Source organism: Homo sapiens, chromosome 8 (assembly GCF_000001405.40).
Source record: "Homo sapiens chromosome 8, GRCh38.p14 Primary Assembly".
In the NCBI taxonomy this organism is placed as follows: domain Eukaryota; kingdom Metazoa; phylum Chordata; class Mammalia; order Primates; family Hominidae; genus Homo; species Homo sapiens.
Window position 1 is genome coordinate 92,942,862 of NC_000008.11, and position 22,763 is coordinate 92,965,624.

The window sequence follows — 22,763 nt, forward strand, 5'->3', positions numbered from 1 at the left end:
TTTTTTGTATTTTAGTAAAGACAGAGTTTCGCCATGTTGCTCAGTCTGGTTGAACTCCTGAGGTCAGGCAATCTGCCTGCCTCAGCCTTCCAAAGTGCTAGGATTACAAGCATAAGCCACTACGCTTGGCTGACAAAAATCAGTGGTATTTATATATACTAAAAGCAAACTATCTAAAAATGAAATAAGGACAACAATCCTATTTACAATAGCTAAAAAAAAAAAAATGGGACACTTAGTAATAAATTTAACCAAGGAGGTGAAAACTCTCCGCAGTGAAAACTATTTTTAAAAACTGATTAAAAAATTGAAGACATACATAAATGGAAAAGCATTCCATGTTTATGAATTGGAAGAATCACTATTGTAAAAATGTCTGTTTTACTCAAAATCATCTACAGATTCAATGCAATTCCTGTCAAAATCCCGAAGACATCCTTCATACAAGTGGAAAAAAACTATCTTAAAATTCATATGGACCCAGAAAACACCCTGAATAGCCAAAGCAATTTTGAGCAAAAAAGAACAAAGCTAGAGGCATCACATTACCTGACTTTCAAATATACTATGAAGCTACAATAACCAAAACAGCATGGCATTGGCATAAAAACAGACACACAGACAATGAAACAGAATAGTGAACCCAAAAATAAATCCATACACTTACAGCCAACTGATGTTCAACAAAGGTGCCAAGAACACAGAATAGAAAAAGAACAGTCTCTTCAATAAATGGTTCTGGGAAAAGTGGACATCCACATACAGAAGAATGAAGCTAGATTCCTGTCTCTTGCTATATACAAAAATTAAACAAAATGAATTAAAGGCTTAAATATAAGACCTGAAACAATAAAACTGCTAGGAGAAATGCTAGGAGAAAACAGGGAAAACACCATATTGGACACACATTGGATTGAGCAAGGATTTTTTTGGGTAAGATCCCAAAAGCACAGGCAACAAAAGCAAAAAATAGACGAATGGGATTCTGCTAGAAGCTTTTTAGAAGAGGAAAAAGCAGAGGAAACAAGCAATAGAGTAAAGAGAGAATCTACAGAATGGAAGAAAATATTTGTAAACTATGCATCTGTTAATATCCAGATTATATTAGGACTATATATCCAGACTATATTAGGAAGTCGATCAACTCAATACAAAAAAAACCCCAAATAATCTCATTTTGAAAATGTGCAAAAGACCTGAATAGACATTTCTCAAAGGAAGACATACAAATGGCCAACAGTTATATTAAAATATCATTAATCATTAGGAAAATGCAAATCAAAACAACAAGACAGCACCTTACACCTGTTAAAATGGCAATTATCAAAAAGATAATTAAAAAGTAGCAAATGGTTTGCATGTGGAGAAAAGGAAAACTCTTACACACTGTCGTGGGAATGTAAATTAGTACAGCCATTATGGAAGAGAGTATGAAGGTTACTCAAAAAAAAAAAAAAAATAGAACTACTATATGACCCAGCAATCCTACTGTTGGATATATATTCAAAAACAAATAAAATCAGTTTGTCAAAGAGGTATCAGCACTTCAATGTTTATAACAGTACTATTCACAATAGCCAAGAGATGAAATCAACCTAAGTCTGTATAAACGAATAAGTGGATAAATAAAATGAAGCATATATATGGAATGAAATACTATCCAGCCATAAAAAAGAATGAAATCCTGGCACTCATGGCAACATAGATAAATCTTGAGGACACTATGTTATGAGAAATAAGCCAGGCACAGGAAGACAGCTACAGCATGATCTCACTTACATGTGGAATCTAAAGAAGTTGACGTCATAAAAGTAGAAGGCAGAACGGTGGTCAACAGAGGCTAGCAAGGGAAAAGGAGGAGGGTACAGGTAAATTTTGGTTAACAGTACACAGTTACAGTTAGAAGGAATAAATTCTGGTGTTCTATTGTAGATTAGGATAACTAAGGTTAACAAATATGGTATTGTATATTTTAAAATAGGAGAATTTTGAATGTTCTCACCACAAAGAAATGATAAATATATAAGGTGATGGATATGCCGGCTAAATGCCCTGATTTGATTTTGCACAATGTATATACGTATTAAAACATCTTACTGTACCCTATAAATATGTATATTTATTATATCTTAATAAAACAAAGTTAATAAAAAAATTAAATAGATAATGAGTGCTGACTGTGGTGTAGGTACTGTCAAAGGCATATTTACATATGATAAATAATTTTTAAAGAAGCTGGCCAGATGCAATCATTACCCATTATCCTATGTTGGGCCCAATTTATGTATCTCACCCAATTCACTACATACTGGACTTTCAGTCACTTGCCCAATGGACAGCACTGGCCATTACCTTCAACTCATTTTCCAGTACCACTGATTGACGTTGCTTCCCCTGTAGTGAAGATGAAGGCACAGCCCTATCACCACTTTCACAGCTACAGCAATATCTACACCCTGACACATGGAAGCTCAGTTCCTCCTGCCACCTCCAGATTCCAGTGAAGCCACAAAGCATACGGTGTAGGATCTAACTTCCCCAACAATTGCCTACTGGGGTCAGGGGATATAATCTGAAAGTATAGGGACAGTAACATACCATAAGGTGAGCTTTGACCAATGTGAAATGAGAGATAGGAAGATGTTGGCAGATAAATTATTTTTCTTCCTCAATCTAACTGACTTGTCCTGTACAGCCTGTCTGTAGATGCTTCACATGACTAAGCAACAGTCTGTGTTTGCTCGTGCAGCTGTGGACAGCTTAGTGACCAACTTACATTTGTTTTTTCCTCCTTATGTACCATATAGGTATGTATATAGATACATATTTGTTCAAAGATTATATGCATGTGCAGGCATGGATATTCATTCTAGTTTTAGCATTTGCCCCAAGAGGTAGCTATATGTATTAAATTTAGGATATAAAATACAGTTAATTATCAATTAAGTTATTTTAAAAAGTACTAAAACATGTCCAGAAAAAAGCAGCATTTCTAATTAAAAATAGAAGCAAAGAATAGAATATAAAAAGAAAAATATATATCTTAACTTAAATAATATAATTAAGAACTAAAAATAAAGTTACTTTCCCAGTGAAAATATGCTCTGGGCAGAAAAAAAAATGACTAAAATATCAAAACGGAAAATTAGAAAGTGGTCTATTTAATAATAACAAAGGCTAAGCCTTAATGAAAGTCTACTACATTTCCTAGGATACTTTGATGATATACAGAAAATAATGAGTAAATTATTTCTCAAGTGTGATATATCTAGGAAATAGATCAGTGAAACAAAAAGAGTAATATCACAGCATACAAACAGAAAATTCACATATAGATGGAAAAAATCACAGTTTACATTGCATTCATGTTTAAAATCAAACATCACTTTTTCACATTTTGAAGATCTCCCCCCCTAAATATGGAAAGAAAAACAAGCCAGAGCTTTAATATAATATTTTTTTCCAACCTGGAACAGCTGCAAAAAACAAATCTTGCTGGAGATAAGCTTGGTTATAAATATCAACATTCCCTTTAAATAAGGGAGTCCAGTTTTCATACCATCTGCCTCTTTCTTAAAGGGAAAAAGTATGAAACTCATAAACCAGGACATTCCCTTTCAAATAAGGCATTTAAAAATGAATGTAATAAAAAGGCGATGAACTACTCTGAACCCCTGTCTTTAAAATTGCCCTATTTAGCTCAGATCAGAAAATGAGATTTTTTTGAAAGCAAACAACTTTTATTCAATGAATAAACTGCCTAAAGCAATTAATATTTTTAAGTGTTGTTTTCTAATTTTTTCACATTACTAGCCATAATAATAATCTCTGATTGAACCATATTTCTCCTTTATGTGTCATACTCCCTACCATTTATTTTTTATTTTTTATTTTATTTTACTTTTTTTTTTTTTTCTGAGATGGAGTCTCGCTCTGTCGCCCAGGCTGGAGTGCAGTGGTGCAATCTCGGCTCACTGCGAGCTCCGCCTGCTGGGTTCACGCCATTCTCCTGCCTCAGCCTCAGAGTAGCTGGGACCGCAGGCGCCTGCCACCACGCCTGGCTAATTTTTTGTTTTTGTATTTTTAGTAGAGATGGGGTTTCACCGTGTTAGCCAGGATGGTGTCGATCTCCTGACCTCGTGATCCGCCCGCCTTGGCCTCCCAAAGTGCTGGGATTACAGGCGTGAGCCACTGCGCCTGGCTCATTTATTTTTTAACTACGTGTGTCACCTCTACTTTTTCTAAAAGGTTTTTAGAGCCTATTCTAAAGACCTCCATGTTATCTCTAACAGTACAAAAATCTAGTTATTAAGAGACTGGACTTTTCTTTTAATACAGATTCTATCCTCTGCAAAAATCCTTCCTATGCCTCTCTCAACAGTGTTTATATATATATATATACACTCAAGTTTGGACTTTATCTTAAAGCCTTCTTTCGTGGCCGGGCGCGGTGGCTCACGCCTGTAATCCCAGCAGTTTGGGAGGCTGAGGTGAGTGGATCACCTGAGGTCGGGAGTTCGAGACCAACCTGGCCAATATGGTGAAACCCTGTCTCTACTAAAAATACAAAAAATTAGCTAGGCATGGTGGTGGACTCCTGTAATCCCAGCTACTCGGGAGGCTGAGGCAGGAGAATCACTTGAACGCAGGAGGCGGAGGTTGCAGTGAGCCGAGATTGCGCCATTGCATTCTAGCCCGGGCAATAAGAGTGAAACTCCGCCTCAGGAAAAAAAAAAAAAAAAAAAAAAAAGCCTTCATTTTTCTTTTGCCCTTCACTATTTTTCATTCTTTAATCCTTGTGATTGAACATTTAATTTTTTCACTGTACCACACCATTACTATTTCAATAATGAAGCCCATAAACTACATCCATTACTTAATTCTTTAAAATATTCACAAGAAAGCATTAATACAAGATGGTTTACCAAATAGAGCAGTCCAGAGGGTTATACTGGTTGCATCTAACGTAAAGGAATATTAAGTATAGTAACACTGAGATGACTTGAGGGACGGTAGAAGAAAACTAAGACAGGAAAAAAATGGCATCTTCTATTTTAAAAATATATATGTTTAGTCAATTCCTTGAATTACAATGATAGGATTCTGAAAGGCAACTGAAACAAATGCACATAGGGAGCCCTGACATAATTAATTCTCCTTTTCATATTCATTCTCTCCCTTATTCTTTTTCTCACACACATAAAAACACACCCATATACTGCAAACAAAAAGAACAAAACTGAATTTTTAATCATGAGCATTTGTAGTAAAGGCACAAAGATTATGCTTACATTTGTCCTTCATAGGAAAAATACATCCTAGGACCATTTTGTATTTTTTAATTCACTTTTATTCTGTTTTAGCTATGGACCACCTAGGTCTGTAATTATAGAAAACAAAGTTGCTCTACAAATGGCAAATGACATTTAATTGCTTACTTGGAATGCTGCATCTTCAGTAAAGAGGAAGGAGACAGAGAAATTTCGCCACAGTAATGGTTAACAACATTTAATCTCTAAGTATTTAAAACAAATGATCATTTTACAGCAATCAATATTTCTTCCTTTTCATGATTAATGTAGATATTATGAAATGAAATGAACAATGAGATTATCATTTCATTGCAACAATGAATTCATTGCAACAATATGATTATCAATATCATATCATTGCAACAGGAAAGTTGTTTTACCTTATACCTATCAGCTAGTTTAAAATATTTAAAAGGTTTTTTCTTATTAAATTTAGTCCACTGTTTATTTCCTCACTTCCCTGAGCAAGAATGCAGGGATCTTTGTTTTGTACACTGAAGAATCTCAAACAATAAGGACAATGTCTGCACATAGTATATACTCAATAGACATTTTTGAGTAACTATTCTCCAAAAGACAATTATGTTAATTTGAAACTTACGTATTTGATGTTTAATTATTGTAAACTTAATTGAAAATGCTTTGAGTTTTCAAAAATAAGCAATTGTCAAGTTTAGCCCAATGCTGCCTCCTTATATATTCTAAATGTGACCTAATGGTTTCTCTGTGCACAGTAAACTGTAACCTTTCCATGTGTAAACAGACTGCAACCGACTTTTGTGCCAATCACTGAGTTTTGGCCAAAGGTGGCCAACTGTTCAAACCAGGCTCAAATGAGGCAAACACCAAGCTGTAACCAATCTGGCTGTTTCTGTACCTAATTTCTGTTTTCTGTTACATAACTTTCCTTTTTCTGTCCATAAATCTTCCACCACATGGTTATGCTAATCTCTCTCTGAGCCTATTCTGGCCTGGGAGGCTTCCTGATTAGAGAATTATTCTTTGCTCAATTAAACTTGTTAAATTTAATTTGTCTAAGTTTTTTCTTTTAATGCTATATTTTATGAGAATCTGAGCCTGATAAAGGGTAGGTTAATTCTTCCCTACTTGTTTCCTTTCTGATTTTGATCCTTTTTGGTGATTAACTAAGATAGGCTTATTTTCCATTTTCAAAATAGGTACAGTAAGAATACCTATCTCACATGGCTATGTTGTAATGGTTAAATTAAATAGTTAATTTATATTAAGTGCTTCTCACATAGTAAGTGCTCAATAAATGTTATCATCATCATTACATCATGCTGATGTAACCAATTACTATTGAGGCAGTATGCAGTCAAGGAAGAAAAAGAAAGAAAGAAGGAAGGAAGGAAGGAAGGAAGGAAGGAAAGGGAAGGAAAGAAAGAAAGAGATGGAAAGAAAGAAAGAAAAGAGAAAGGAAGGGAGGGAGGGAGGAAGGAAGGAAGAAAGGAAGGAAAGGGAAGGAAAGAAAGAGAAGGAAAGAAAGAAAGAAAGAAAGAAAGAAAAGAGAAAGGAAGGGAGGGAGGGAGGGAGGAAGGAAGGAAGAAAGGAAGGAAAGGGAAGGAAAGAAAGAGAAGGAAAGAAAGAAAAAGAAAGAAAGAAAGAAAGAAAGAAAGAAAGAAAGAAAGAAAGAAAGAAAGAAAGAAAGGGAGAGAAAAGAAAAGAGAAAGGAAGGGAGGGAGGGAGGGAGGAAGGAAGGAAAGAAAGAAAAAAGAAAAAAATATAAACTTGATCTCACATTCGTTTTTGAGCTCCATTTATTTAAGATTCTTAGGATATAAGAATGCTCTCAGAATATACTAAGCCTATAACAACTTAATTACATATACGATGTACAATATCTGGTATTATTTGATCTTTTAAATATCTTCTATCATCAGCTAAGTGGCTTCTACAAAAGTATCTTTGGATAACTTTTAAAATGCCAAATTATGTATGCTATCTTATTGTTCACACATGTTTGAAACTCTGGATTAGTAGAGTAACAGTTACATTTAGAAAGTAAGTTTTTTATATACACTAGTTTCTCTTGAGGAGAGACCTTTTTAAGAACAGAGTGCTGTGGTGTATTTCAAAATGGTTCCTTTTCCCCTCCCCCAGGGATTTTTATCAGATATTTACTGTGAGAACCTAGTCTCACAATATGTATGTATTTACATACTTAGTGCATGTACATATGTACATACAAAAGGCTTACACACTAGTCCCCATTTTTAAAGCTGGCAACTTAATCTCTAATCGTTGTAGGAATTTGCAAATTATCCTTCAGTCTAAGAAAAAATTTCTCAGGTAAACACTTCCACAATTCTTTATTCTGTATTCTCTTTAGGAGTTGTAAACTTCTTGATGTTTTTTCTACTAAGTCTGTAAGTCACAATTCCTTTTATATATCCACTACATGCATTGTGCAGGTTAATACTGTTCCTCTTACTAGAGCAATAGCCTGACTTTAGATAAAACTGGTTCTGCCATAAGAGCCTCAAACCTTTAATTTCCAATGATAAGTTTAGCATCTCAAATATTTAAAGTAACCCTAGGTCTAACACATAATAGCAAACAAGAAATAAAATTTTAGAAAAGCCCTTATAGTACATTCCAACGAATATCTTCCAAAACCTTTAAGAAAATTTCCATAAATATTCTACTTTTCTATTTTCTTTTTGAATATTAAACTTTAGTATAACATTATACAGGTCTCCCTCCATAGCCATCAGGGATTGGTTCCAGGACTCCTGTGGAAACCAAAATCCACAGGTGCTAGAATTCCTTACATAAAATGGTGTAGCATTTGCATTAACCTATGTTGTACATTCCCCTGTATTCTTTAAATCATCTTTAGATTATGTATAATATTTAATACACTGTAAAAGCTATGTAAACAATTGTTTTACTGTATTTTTCTGTTATTTTTTTATTGTTGTATGGCTATTTTTATTGCTTTTTTTTTATCCTGAGTATTTTTGATCTGCAATTGCCTGAATTCATGGATGCAAAACCCTTGATATGGAGGGCCAACTGAAAATTTTTTACTAAAAAAATCTATGATCTAAAAAATCTATCATAGGCTTCCAGTTTCCATTTCTGTATGTAAGGAGCTTAGAAGTCACTACTCCATCCCTTTTCCAAGTAAAAAGTTAAACAGACTGAAAAATCAGCGCTCTTTTTGGATTCTTAAGAAAAATGAGGACACAGAGCACAACTCTGACTCTCAAGGTTGGAGAAATAGGCAAATGCAGAGAGTCACAGCTTACCAGACAGAAACCCGTGAGAGGAAATCGTCACAGGAACCAGTGCTGTGGTAGAAAAACCTGAACTGTAATTGACAAATTGCTAGAGGCTCAGGATGAAAAAGTCTGAATGAAAAACTCTAGGGGAACCAAGACAGAGAAGGACTCCCACACTCTGTGAGTTTTACCCCCAGGAGCTCGACTAGCTTCTCACAGTAAATACTTGAGAAAAATCCCAGTGGGAGGGGAAAAGGAACCATTTTGAAATACACTACAGCACTCTGTCATTCTTAACAAGATCTGTCCTCAGGAGAAACTAGTTAATCAAAGGCTAACTTGCTGGGTACTGTCAGAGCCTAACTGATCTGGGGAAAGGAAAACCCCCAACTCTAGCCCACTCTAGCTTTCCATGTGGAGGAAGAGAAATACTCAACTCCAGGCATCCTGTCTTCACTAAAGGAGGGGAAAACACTTGTGAAGTTCACAGTCCAAAAGCCAATGCTCACTAAATGACTAAGACCTAATAATAGGACTACAGAGTGTACCACATAGCTCCATACTTTACCACCATGTTACTAGAGGCCTATTTACAGCAGTTCCTTTTACCCAGTACATCATATCTGGCTATCAAGAAAAAATTACAAGGCATACTAAAAGGGAAAAAAAAAAACACAATTTGAAGAGATACACAAGCATCAGAACCAGATATGGCAGGGATGTTGAAATTATCAAACTGGAAACTTAAAATAAATATGATTAATATGCCAAGGGCTCTAATGGATAAAGTAGACACCATGCAACAACAGATGGAGAATGTAAGCAAAGACATGGAAATCTTAAGAAGGAACCAAAAGAAATGCTAGTGATCAAAAACACAATAGCAGAAATGAAGAGTGCCTTTGATGAGCTTATTCATAGATTGAACACTAGCTGAGGAAAGATCTCTAAGCTTGAGGTAAATCAATAGAAACCTCCAAAACCAGAAAACAAAGATAAAACACACACACACACACACACACACAGAACAGAATACCCAAAGATTGTGGTACAACTCTAAAAGGTATAACATACGCATAATGGGAATATCAGAAGATGAAGAAAAAGAGATAAGAACAGAAGAAATATTTGAAACAATAATGACTGAGAATAAATGTCAGACACCAAACCATAAATCCAAGAAGCTCAAAGAACACCAAAAAGGATAAATGTCAAAAAAAACTATACCTAGGTGTATCATCTGAAAATGCTTTTAAATATCTTTTACCTGGATATCTTATACTCCTTTAAATCAGTACAAAGGTATGACAGTCATTAATTCAACTCATTAATCTTACAATTCCCCTTTCCCTCTGGATAGAAGGCAATACTGCACTTCATAGTTCCCCATTCAAAATTTAGCAATTTGCTTTGACCAATGAAACTCTAAATGCCATTGCATAACGAGCCACACTCCCTTCCCACTGCTGCAGTGATCATGGAAGTATATTCAGATAAAACCTTCAATATCTTGGGTCCAGAACCATTCTACCAACTTATTTTGGATATGTAGTCTGTGTGTTGTGTTAAGACATTGAAATTTGGGCTTGCTTGTTTCTACAGCATAACCTGAGCTCCTCTGACTGATACAAAGGGTTACTTTTCCCCAGCAGCCTTTCATAAGTACAACATAGTCTGATTTAAATGCTGCTTCTCCAAGTGATGACAGCATTCTATTCATGCTCTTATTATAACACAATACTATAGTAAAATGGCTGCTGGAATTATCCATTTCCTTTGTAAACTATACTCCTGAAGGTAGGAACTGTTAATGCCTAGCTCATAGTAAGTAGTTAAAACACATTTTCTGGATTCATTGATCATTCATATGTTCACTCATCAAGGGCCAGGGGCCACTCCGGTTACTAGAGATAGAGTGAAAACAGAGCAAACCAAAATTCCTGCCTTCATATGCCTTATATTCTTATGAAGGATAATGATAATAAGCAACACAAATAAGTGTAAATATATAGTTTAATAGATAGTGATAAAAATTATAGAGCAAAGAAAGAATATAAAGCTTTGGATGGTCATCAGGTAAGACTCCATTTAGAAGGTGAAATTTTAATAACGACCAAAAGAAAAGTAAGGAAATTGGTCATACAATTGCTATATATGGATGAAGAGCAATTCAGTAGAAAGAATAGCAAGTGCAAAAATTCTGAGATGAGAAAATGCCTGGCACGTTCAGAGAACAAAAAGGGAGGCAGTATGCCCAGGGCAAGAGAATAACGATGAGCAGAGTTGAAGATGAAATTAGAGAAATAACAAAGGTTCAAGTACTGTAGAGACATTTAGACCAGTTTAAGAGCTTTATTTAGATTTGATGTTGAGTAAAATGGAGAGCTATTTAAAGGCTTTGAGTAGAGTGAGGAGTGGGAAAGAACAGTAAGCGATGAGGTCAGAGATAAACAGAGGCCCATATTCTTCCATTTTATGTCATATTTCCTCTCTCCACAATACATAAGAAAAATGGATGTATCAATTTACTAAGAAATATTGCTGAGTAAATGATATTTTATGATGATATTAATCTGTTTATTACTTAATATGCAGGAACAGTGACTAAAACCAATACATAATTATCAAAATATTGCAATATACCAAAGTATAATAATGTACTGAACATCAAGACAGACCAAGCATTTAATGTAGCAACAAATCTTTAACAGACAATTGATAATACTAAATATTTAACAAATAAATCAGTTATAAATGTATAGCTTTATAAATGTTACTACATTTATTTGGATTTGCTGAAATATCACAAAATAAATACAAGTAAAAACATTTCCTTATTGTAAAACTGCCTTCCATAAGAAAAACCTATGCTTGGAACCCAGGTTCATTGCCAGAAAAAAACAACCCAAAGCAATAAGTACAAAGTGAAAGAAAACAAACCACAAATCAAAACACCTTTTGCAAAATGTTAAATCAAATAAACACACCTTGCGTTGTGTCTTTGATGCTGCCAAGTCTAAACTCTGGAGAGCTGCCAAGGGGTAAGATGTTTCCAAAGCCAAGGTCTTTAGTTAGGTAGCAGTGCTTGCATTCCTGGCAAATTCAATTCCAAATACCAAAAATAATATTCTTGGTGATTTTTCTTACTGAAATTCAAAACAAAGTATATAGAAATAGTAAATGGATGATCTCCAGTTCCCTAATAGTCCACAAATTTAAATCACAGGGAAATCATTTCCAAAAGGTGTTTCTTGGTTTGCTAACTCTGTTATTTATTCCATCTGAATACGTTTCTATGCCAAATATAATTGGAAAATGTTGCATATTATGCCCCATTTTAACAAGGCACATTTTTATATTATTATGAAGGCTCTGAGAAGTCCTGTAACAGAAGAATCTATTTAAATTTATGTGACCCAGTGTGTCTTAAACAATTATCTGAAAAGTAGCAGGAGATACTTCCACTGTTTTCTAAAGTCAAGCATAAATGTAAAAATACTGATATAAAATTATTTTCTGTTATTTTAATTTGCACAAGGTTGACTTTAAAAACAATTGTATTTATTCAGTCGTAAATGTTTAAGTATATGTTACTTTCTAAATGCACATTTTAAAAGCAACATGGAATAATAAGCAGGTAATGCATGATTTATTCATTTTTGTTCAGTGAATATTTACCAAATACATATTAAATGTCAGGCAATGAACTTATGTCAAGTTTTACACTGCAATTGCTCTCATATGGATAAGAGTATAAAATTTAAGTATTTCCAAACTGGGATCTAATAATAATACCAACTTAAAATTTAACCCCAACTATTTGGGAACACAAGCTTTACTTTACTAATTCTAATGAGATAATTAAAAATAGCAATTTTGGGGTTACTTTTAAATAGTGTTAACAATACAAGTCAAGAGTAATAATATGAAAGAATAATCCTTTTTAACAAAGGTGCTACAAAATAATACAGTTGGACCCTTCCTCACACCAAACACGAAATTTAATTCAAGATGAATCACAGAACTAAATGCAAAGACTAAAACTATAAAACATTTAAAGGAAATCGTAGGAATAAAACTTTATTACTTTGAGTTTGAAAATAGTCTCTTAGATACAACACCAATAGCACAAGCAACAAAATAAAAAACAGACAAATTGAACTCCATTAAAATAAAAATTTTATGCTTTAAAGAACATGACCAAAAAAGTGCAAAGACAGTCTGCAGAATAGAAGAAAATACTTGCACACCATATATATAATAAAAGTCTTATATCCAGAATATATAAAGAACTCTCACAACTCAACATAAAAGATCAAATAATACAATTTTTAAATGGGCAAAGTATTTGAACAATTTTCCAGAGAAGACATACAAATTGCCAAAAAGCACATGAAAAGATGCTCAACATCATTAGTCATTAGGAAAATCCAAATAAAAACCACAATGAGATACCACTTTACTCCTAGTAGGATGGCTATTTTAAAAAAATGCAAGTGGAGATAAGGAATGTGGAGAAATTGGAATCTTCATACATTGCTGGTAGAAATGTAAAATGTTACAGCCACACTTTGAAAAGTTTGGCAGCTCCTCAAAAATGCACGGAGTTACCACGTGACCAGCAATTTTAGTCTTAGGTATATATCCAAGAAAAATGAAAACATCTCCACACAAAAACTTATATACGAATGTTCATAGCAGCATTATTCTAATAGCCAAAAAGTAGAAATAACTCATGATGAACAGGTATATAAATGTGGTATATATCTATATGGTGGAATATTAAAAAGAATGAAATATTGATAATGCTGCAACATGGATGAACTTGTAAACATGTATCTAAGTGAAAGAAGTCAGTCACAAAAGTCCACTTAATACATAACTTTTATTGTTCCCTTTATATGAAATGTCCAGAATGGGAAGGTCAATAGAGAAAGAAAATAGATTAGTGGTTGCTTAAGGGTGCAGAGGCAGAAGGAATGGGAACTGACATAATGGGTACAGAATTTCTATCTGAGATAATGAAAATATTCTGAAATTAGATAGTTGCACAATATTGGGAATATTGTAAAAATTCCTGAATTATACACTTTAAAATGATAAACTTTATGATTGTGAAATATAGCTCAATAAAGCTGTTATTAAAATACAAGTGTCATAAAAATACAACTCTACAGTCCTTATCTAAAATGTTTGGGCCAGATATGTCTTGAATGATTTTAGATTATAAAAATGTAATAAACCTCATCTACCATAATTACATAACACTCCTGAAAGGATGTGGGGGAAGCATATTAATACTTCATAGAAAAATCTTATGCCATTTAATTACATAAATAGTCCCATGTCATTTCAAGTCTGTTTTTTGTCTCAATTAAGTTTGTAAAAAACTTGACAAAGTTTAATTTTGAAGAACTTTTGGATTTTGAAAATGCAAGTGATGGTTGTTGGGAGCCTTATTAATGATGATTGTTAATATTAGTAATAATAGCAGCTACGCATTTGTTGACTAGCAACTACTGTGGCAAACACTGTGGTAAGCACATCACATACCACAAATTTTCATAACATTTCTGCATGACAGGTACAATTTCCCAACTGAGGAAATTGAGTTTCCTAATGATTAACTGACTTGCCCAAGCATGCAAAGTTGACAGGGAAAGTAGCAGAGATTAGAACTCAAATCTATCTGATTATAGAGCTTACTCTCTTTCCTCTATGTATTAGAGTATGTTCAGACCACTCACCAGAACTACAGACTCTACCTCTGTAAAATGGAGTAAGAGCCTTTTTACATATACATACATGTGTACATAACCATATATACATATATGTAAGTATGTATATAAATATACATATGCATGTATGTATACATAAAATTAATGTATGTACATAAAATATATGTATATTTACGTATACATACACATACAGATACACATATATACACATATATATGTGAAGTAAGAATGAAATGAAGTATTTTTATGAAAATGTGTCAAATATAAAGATCTACATAAATATAAGACAATATCATCTGAGTAACTATTTTCATTATATATCTAAATCAAGGTTCAAAGGGGATATGTTTTCAGTTAAATTTTACAAAGGCATTCCAAACAAACGTATTAATTTTAGTAGAAGAAATGCAAAGTGTTAATTTAAACATTGGTTTTAAATATCTAAGCAAAGAAAATCTAAATATATTCAAGTGGTCTATAACTAAACTTCTATCATCTCAAACTTTCATAAAGTTTTTGGGGTGCAGTATGCAAGCATATACATTATGTTTTGTCTTAAAGCAGTTAGTTCTATCTACTCAGGAGAAGCCAGAACAGATTACGTTTTTACTTTATAAGTAACTTCTTAATATTCTAAAAAAGTTTAATGATTTACGTTTATTTAACAGCCTGCTCACATAAGTTTACCTACCACGTAAGTTCCTAGGGTAACTAGGGGATTGTTTATATATTCCCCCTTAAAGGAAAACCTGTGTATACCTCAGTACAACTTTTATTCCATGAAAGTATAATCATAGAATTAAAGAACTTTAGAAAGTGTGGTACAGTATTTGAAAAAGCTTCAGAACCATTTCAAAATACCAATTTGATCATGTTGCTCTCCATTTGAAAACCTGAAATGGATCCTCATTGCCTCCAAGATGCAAATAGTTTTGCATGTCATATAAGAGCCTCCTCAGCCTTTGCCAGCAGGTTCATACTGCCTCAACTCTAGCCACTTTTCTCTAGATTAGGCCCCAATCACTAAACTTCTTTTGATTTTCCAATCACAAGAACCCATTGACAGCTTAATAGCTTTACAAATCTTATTATACTTATTTCAATGTTGCTCAGCCCTAGCCTTGTCTAACTTGAATTCATAGGCACCCTTCAAGACCCCATTTCAATCAATTACGTACTTTCTCTGTACAAGTCACCTATACCTGCTGGACAAATCTTTGGTTATCTGATTGATATGTAACTCATAACTCACTTATTAAATATTGTACATACTTATCTCTATAAACATCTAGATTTTTGGCATATAATAGTATCCATTATTTCTTATTATAATATTGAGATATTACCTGATTTTCATCTTTGGAAATAAAACTGTAAAATATTTACATGAATTTTGTTTCATTTATGGAATAGAGATGGAAAAGAGAAGATGTGGATTATAAAATTCAAATAATAATAGATTCCTGAGGTTAACCTTAACCCATATAAGACCAAACAGATGCTGGGGTAAGTCAAACACTGAAGGGCAAAAATTGAATAAATCTGAGTCCCTTGAACTGAAAAGAAAAGTACACTATGTCTTACAATTCAGGTCAGGAGTTGGAAAACTTCTTCTGCTTTCTAGATACAAATATTATAGGCTTTGGATGTCAAGAGGGAAAATCAAATTATAACAATGTGACTATGATTTTAGTGTGCTGAGATGCAGAGCAAGGCAATGAAAGTGCCTCATGTGCACCTCTGCGGCAATTACACAACTCTGCTGTATTGTATTGTACTGTAAAAGCAGCCATAGACAATACGTAAACAAATGAGTGTGATTGTTTTCTAATAAAACTTTATTTATAAACAATTAAATTTGAATTTTACATAATTTCCACATCACATATAAACAAATGAGCGTGATTGTTTTCTAATAAAACTTTATTTATAAACAATTAAATTTGAATTTTACATAATTTCCCCATGTCCACATTATCCTTTTGATTTTTTTCAACCGTTTAAATATGTACAAACCATTCCAAGCTCACGGATCATAGGATACACAAGGTGAGCCAGATCTGGCTTGCTGGTCGTAGTTTGCTATTCAATGGTTTGGGGATATTTTTTAATCTATTCATACTCTTGGATTATCAGGTTTCCTCTCTGGCATAAATGAGTCAGAAGTTCACAAAATTTTATTTAAATCTAGGTCGTTCTTATTGAATTAATTGTGTAGTATTATCTTCTCATGCAAACAATGTTTTATATTAGCAGTCAATTTTTAGCTATATTTAACAAAACTATTTAAAGTCTGGGGTATACCATCAGTTATATATATGCATACACACACACACACACACACACACACACACACACACACACACAAAATGGCTTTTGTGTTGATATTGCATTATCTCATAATAAGCTGGTATCTTCGGGTCTTTTTCCTCAAAAGGAAACACGAAGTAGTTTAGATTCCTTTATACACATGCTCCTCAACTTACCGTGGGTGAAAAATATCTTAAATCGAAAATGCATTTAATACCCCAATAAACCCATAGTAAAATTGAAATATTGTAAATCAAACCATCTTAAGTCCAGATGCTTTTCAACTTATGATAGGGTTACATACCGATAAACCCATCATGAAGTTGAAAAACCATAAGTCAAACCATTGTAAATCAGGGACGGACTGTATACGTAAGAGTGGTTTTCTGTTGCCATCACACAAGAATTACAAACTGCCTGGGAATTTTTTTAACTATAAACATGTTGCTCTGTTGTTTTCTGGCATTTCATACTACAGAAAAGAAGTCTGAGGCCAGCCTAATAACATGCTTTTTTCTTTTCTTTCTTGATATGGAAAACATTTATTTTCTTTATCATCATAATTTGACAATTTTGTGATTTTTGTGTCTCTTTAAGTTGTCATGCCTTACATAAAAAAGGCCCTTTCTTCCTTCATAGGTCTTTTTCAGCTCAGGAAAGTTTTTTCTCCTATTTATTTTTAAAATTATTTTTCTTTCAAATACTCTGTTCTTTTCTTCAGGAACAACTATTTGTCTATCTATCTATCTATCTATGTATCTATCTTCTTGTCTCTTTTTCAGAGACTCCAAATATCCACACAGTGGACTCTATTCTTTATTCTCCATATATCATCTTTTTATGATTTCCAATTTTTTAACTAAAATAACCTCTCAAATCTATTCTCTACACCGACTAAACTTTGTACAACGACATCAATTCTATTTGTTACTGCCTCAAATATAGATTTTTAATGCTTTTGTGATAGGCAAAATAATGTTCCCCCAATCCAAAAATGTTCAAGTCCTAATTCCCATAACCTACAAATAAGTTACCTTAGATTGCAGAAGGGACTTTGCAGACATGATTCAATGAAGAACCTCAAAATGGACAGATTGTCCTGAATTATCTGGATGTGTCTTCAAAAGTAGATAACCCTTCCAGATGTGGTCAGGAGACATGACAACAAAATAAGTCAGATTGCTGCAATGTTGCTGGCTTTGACGTTGGAAGAAGGAGGCCATAAGCCAAGGAATGTGAGCAGCCTCCAGAAACTACAAAAGACAAGGAAACCAACCATCTCTCCTAGAGCCTCCAGAAAGGAATGCAGCCCTGTCCCGACCTTGATTTCAGCCCAAAGTGACCTATATCAGACTTCTGAACCACAGAACTGTCAGATACTAAATTTGTGTTATTTTAAGTCACTAAATGTGGGGTAATGTGTTATAAGAGGAACAAAACTGATACGGCTCTCATATTTTCAGTTTCTCATCATTTTGTTTTCTCTTACTATCTTCTCTCTGACACTTCATCACTGTCTGTTATTTTTACATGAAGTTCTCCTATCCATAGAAGCCATGTATTCTTGAATGTGTTGGACGGCAAATAACTCCCCGAAATGTTCTTCCTTCCTTAGCTTAAAATTATTTTTAGAGATTCATAGGTATGCCTCTGAGTTTTCTACTGATAACCTCTGCCTTGATTTTGTAGGATGTCTTGTTTCACTTGATTTATTTTCAAATGTTAATTTATCCAGAATATTTTAGCACTGAAAAAACTGTATAGATAATTTCTACATAAGCCAGTGTTTTCCATTTATCGATAAAGGGGACGGTGTTGAGGGGAGGCAGAAAATGAACTCCCTAGGAATGCAGACAAAGCAGAATCGGAAACTGGGAGGTTCTTTTTAAAACTGTACCTTCCCATCCTGAAAAAAAAAATCTGATATACCTCCTCTGCCCAGAGAGATTCAGTACTATATACTGAGTCACTGTGAATGACGGCAACGTATTATAATGCTCAAGCATGTTGTTCAAAAAAAAGAAAAATCTTCAACCTTTTCCACATAGATAATTAACTTGACTGGAAAGTTATTAATACCCAACAAAGGATATTTCTACCTACAGAGCTAAGTCTAAAACTTTCAATACAGTGCACCTTCCACCTGCTATAGGTAATAAACTATAATCCACAATTAGGACTTTGCCACAGGTATCCATATAGTTCATTATTCCATACCCTGCAATATTTGAATATTTTAACATTCAAAGTATGTAAAACAAATGTTATTTGGATTAACCTATCTTTCTTTTGTCATTGTCAAACTTTTAAATTGTTCAATACAATTGGTCTGTTATTTTTGCAACTACGTCACTAAATAATACTACTACAGAAGAACTAAGCTAGTTTATGCTGTTGTCATTCTCCACTTCAGTGGCTTAAAAGTCATGTGACTGACAAGAGTCTTTCATTAATGGAACTGTCTTTGCCTTTTGAGTCAAAAAAACTGTTAAACCACTGAATATGGAGTATTTACCTTTTTATTGTTTAACATTTCAAAATTACGAATTAAGTAGGAATCATTTATTTTTCATGGAAACATACACCTATCTCACTCTATTGTTGCAAAGATGCTGAACATTTCTACCATATAAAAAAGGTATAAATATATATAATGGTATGAAAAATTAGCTCTAGGCCTACATGATCCTTATCTGTTTAATAGGAAATTTGAGAATATCAAATATGATCAAATATGTATCACTATTTTCCATTAGTATTATTTTAGTCACTCTGGATGAATACCAAAAAACCACAAAATTCTAAGTAATATTGTTTAAGACATTAACACTTTGAGTCAAATCTACTGATATCAAAAACACAGATACATATGCACAAAGATTAAGGAGAAAGCTGGCTGAGTTTCGCGTTTCTACATAGAAGAATGTCCACTGGAGCAGGGACTCTCAAAAGATGCTTTGGCATTGGAGTGAGACAAAGAAATTCTTTATTGAGCTGATAGATCTCTACATTACACAATATTTATCATCTCTGAACTTCAGGATCCCAAAAGCCAGTAGTACTTCCTTTAAAGAAATTAGAATAATTTTAAAACACCCTGGCATATTTCAAATACCCCAGAGGTGTCACCCAGAATGGAAAACCATTCTGGAAATGGAAAACCAGAGCACTAGATTAACAGTCCTGGCCTCAGATCCCACTTCTTCTTCACAGCTTACCAAAAAGAGACGTATCTGACCGGTTCACATTACTCCACCGGTAGAGCTAACCCATTATAAACCACTAAGCACTGGAGATTTTCCATCTTTTATTAGACCTCTGCCCTACACCATGAAAAGCAGTAATTGTAAGTAAGCGTATCTGTTCCGCAATCTGAAATTTTTCTCTCAGCTGAACTAAAGTCTAGGTTCTGGGAAAGAGAGTAGGAGTAAAAGGGGATAGGAAGTACTAGTACTCATTTTTGGTCTCATTTTTGCATAAAGCACTATCCCCACTCGACTTGTTATTGCAAGTTGAAGTTGATATGGCAGGCGCCACATGTCTGTTTACAAACGCAAGAGAGGAAGGAAAGAGCTATTATTGAGCCCCTAAAAATCTCTAAATCCATTGTAATGCTCTCTCTAAGCCATTTGTCTTTATCCCTGTTTCTCTACCAGAAATGAACAGAGTTGAATAAAGAAAGAGTCAAGTACCAAACAGTTCAAATAAAATTACAAGTACTAACGAAATAACAGGTGCATATATACATTTATGCGTTTTACAAAAGCAATAGCTCTTTACCTCTTCAAGTTTTTCCTTATCCAATAACAACTTTTTATATCTACTACTGATATCCACTTTTATTGATAAAGCTAGATAGGGAATCAGACCAAAGAAAATAATGAACTCTATTTACAGATTTCTATATGAATATAGAAATCAGGAAAAGAGCCACAGTGAAAACAACCACAATTCTTTTTAGCCACAAATTAAAATGTTATAAAAGATTATTCACTTAAGTTTAAAAAAAAAAAAACAGTTCTAAGTATCAAGTAATGATATTCCAGTGGCATGTACTAAAAATAATCAGCTTTTCTTTGTCCAAAACGGACCTCGATAGATGAGAAAGTTTATGGATTTAATGTTCATCTCAAAAGTACAATTTTGGCCAGACGCGGTGGCTCACCCCTGTAATCTCAACACTTTGGGAGGCCGAGGCGGGCGGATCACCTGAGGTTGGGAGTTCGAGACCAGCCTGACCAACATGAAGAAACCCCGTCTGTACTAAAAATACAAAATTAGCCAGGTGTGGTGGTGCACTCCTGTAATCCCAGCTACTCGGGAGGCTGAGGCAGGAGAATTGCTTGAACCAGGAAGGCAGAGGTTGTGGTGAGCTGAGATAGCGCCATTGCACTCCAGCCTGGGCAACAAGAGTGAAACTCCGTCTCAAAAAAAAAAAAAAAATACAGTTTCACATTTTTCTCAAAATATTTGACAATGTTCTTTTTACTTGTTTAAATACCAGAATATGCTTTAAGAGGTTATGATCAAAGGGCATTTGGGATAAAACATAGATTACATGGTTTTGTAAGATAGCAACAAATAACTGAACATTAGTAGTTCCCGTTTGTTAGTGCTCAAAAAAACAAAAAAGTACAATGGGAAAGGGGGCCCCAAAAGGGAACTGCAGATGACTGAAGGCCTTGAACAAAGGTATGTTATGGTAAGAGGCACTGTGGAAGAAAGGCAAAAGCCCCACTCTGCTCCCAGCTATGTAGCCTTGGGTAAAAGTTACTTAGTCTCTCTGTAGGATGAGGCAAGTGGGAGAGAATAATTTCCTTATCCCTAAAGAAGTTGAACAAAAACAGGGTCCATTTAGGCTTAAAATTGTGCATTTTTCTGAGGAGCAAGTCAATAGCTTTCCTTGGTTTCTCAAAGTGGTAAATGACACCAAAAAGGTTAGTCATCCTCGCATTAAAAGGTAATGTTTCCCAATCTTTTCAGGTATATATATATATCTATATATATATATATATCTAGTGATATTAAAGAGGAAAAGGTGTCATTCAAGACATTACAGGTTCTACCTAACCAGAACCAACACAGAATCAATAATGAATAGATGAGTTAATTTCTTCCCCATTTCTAAATAACCCTAAGATTAAAAAAAAAAAAAATCACAAGGGAAATTTGAAAATACTTAAAGCTGAATGGCAATACTTATACGTGTTTATAAATTTGGATCATATACACAAAAAGATTAAAAGTGTAATCAATAATGCTTTACATTTGTGTGGATCATTACTTTAATGATACTTTCACAACCAATTATTCCTCCTTTTTTAGGAAGGAAGGGCATATCCTAGAGTCTCCAATTTACAGATAACGAAACAATTATTGCCCAAGGACAAACATTTCTTAACCATGCCAGTTTCCTGACTTGTAGGCCAATGCTCCTCCCAATGTTAACAAGCAGCACAAGCTTCCTTCCTGGGGGTTTGCACTGTAAACCTGCCAGAGGAAAATAAAAGATTTTTACCTCTTTTGTTTTTTCTCTCTGGAATGTTTGTTGTGCTGAATCATTAGGAGACAGAGTATATGAGCAAACAAAGGCAGATTTAAAATGGTTATCTGAGGTTACCATCTCACACCATACTTGTTGATCATTAAGTATGAGCCGAGTGAAGCAAAAACAGCTCTACAGGTTTAGCACACCTCTCCACAGTAGAGAATGAAAGGGAGATTATACATTGGGGCTCCTCTAGCAATAAATTGCTTCAACTTCTTCAGGAGGCTTATTAAGCTCAAACAAGCAGCAGAGAACTCCAAGTAGAAGAAACCTAATCTCCAATCCCCTTTTCCTAGTCATCCACGCGGACACCAACATCTGATGGATTCAGGAATACACCAAGCTCCAAGAAAAATACCCCCGCCCCACAACCTCACCACCACCGATAAAGCCACCTAATCCTGTCTGAATCTCTTCTCTGCAAATGTTTTGGTATGCAAATACTCGTTCATTAATAAGAGGAAGCAGGAAAAAGAGTGAAGAGGAGTACCATGGGAAAGGGGGCCCCAAAAGGGAACGGCAGAACCCAGAGAGCTGCACTGACAAGTAAGCGACCGCGAGTAATCGGTCAGCACAAAGGAGCCAATCCCGAGCCGCGTGGAAGACCTTG

At 34.3% G+C, this 22,763-nt stretch overlaps 1 protein-coding gene across 14 annotated transcripts in view, besides 1 other annotated feature; it reads right to left on the reverse strand.

The window, feature by feature from the left end:
- TRIQK (triple QxxK/R motif containing) overlaps window positions 1–22,763 on the reverse strand; it is a 134,132-nt gene that overhangs the window by 59,328 nt on the left and 52,041 nt on the right. For 7 of the 14 annotated variants that reach the window (NM_001171795.2, NM_001171797.2, NM_001171796.2 and 4 more), the window contains exon 2: window positions 11,545–11,703. The exons of 4 other annotated variants lie outside the window; for them this stretch is intronic. The gene's annotated coding sequence lies outside the window, so the exon portion shown is untranslated. Of the gene's footprint in view, window positions 1–11,544; window positions 11,704–17,639; window positions 17,859–22,643; window positions 22,729–22,763 lie in introns of those variants that run through there. 3 more of the 14 variants (XM_024447136.2, XM_047421712.1, NM_001191036.2) reach the window with 2 other exon arrangements.
- Window positions 22,490–22,599: an enhancer, noted in NCBI's record as "active region_27616". NCBI's record gives its function as "activates an Ori minimal core promoter by ATAC-STARR-seq in GM12878 lymphoblastoid cells {active_cell/tissue: GM12878}" and the evidence as "EXISTENCE:reporter gene assay evidence [ECO:0000049][PMID:35858748]".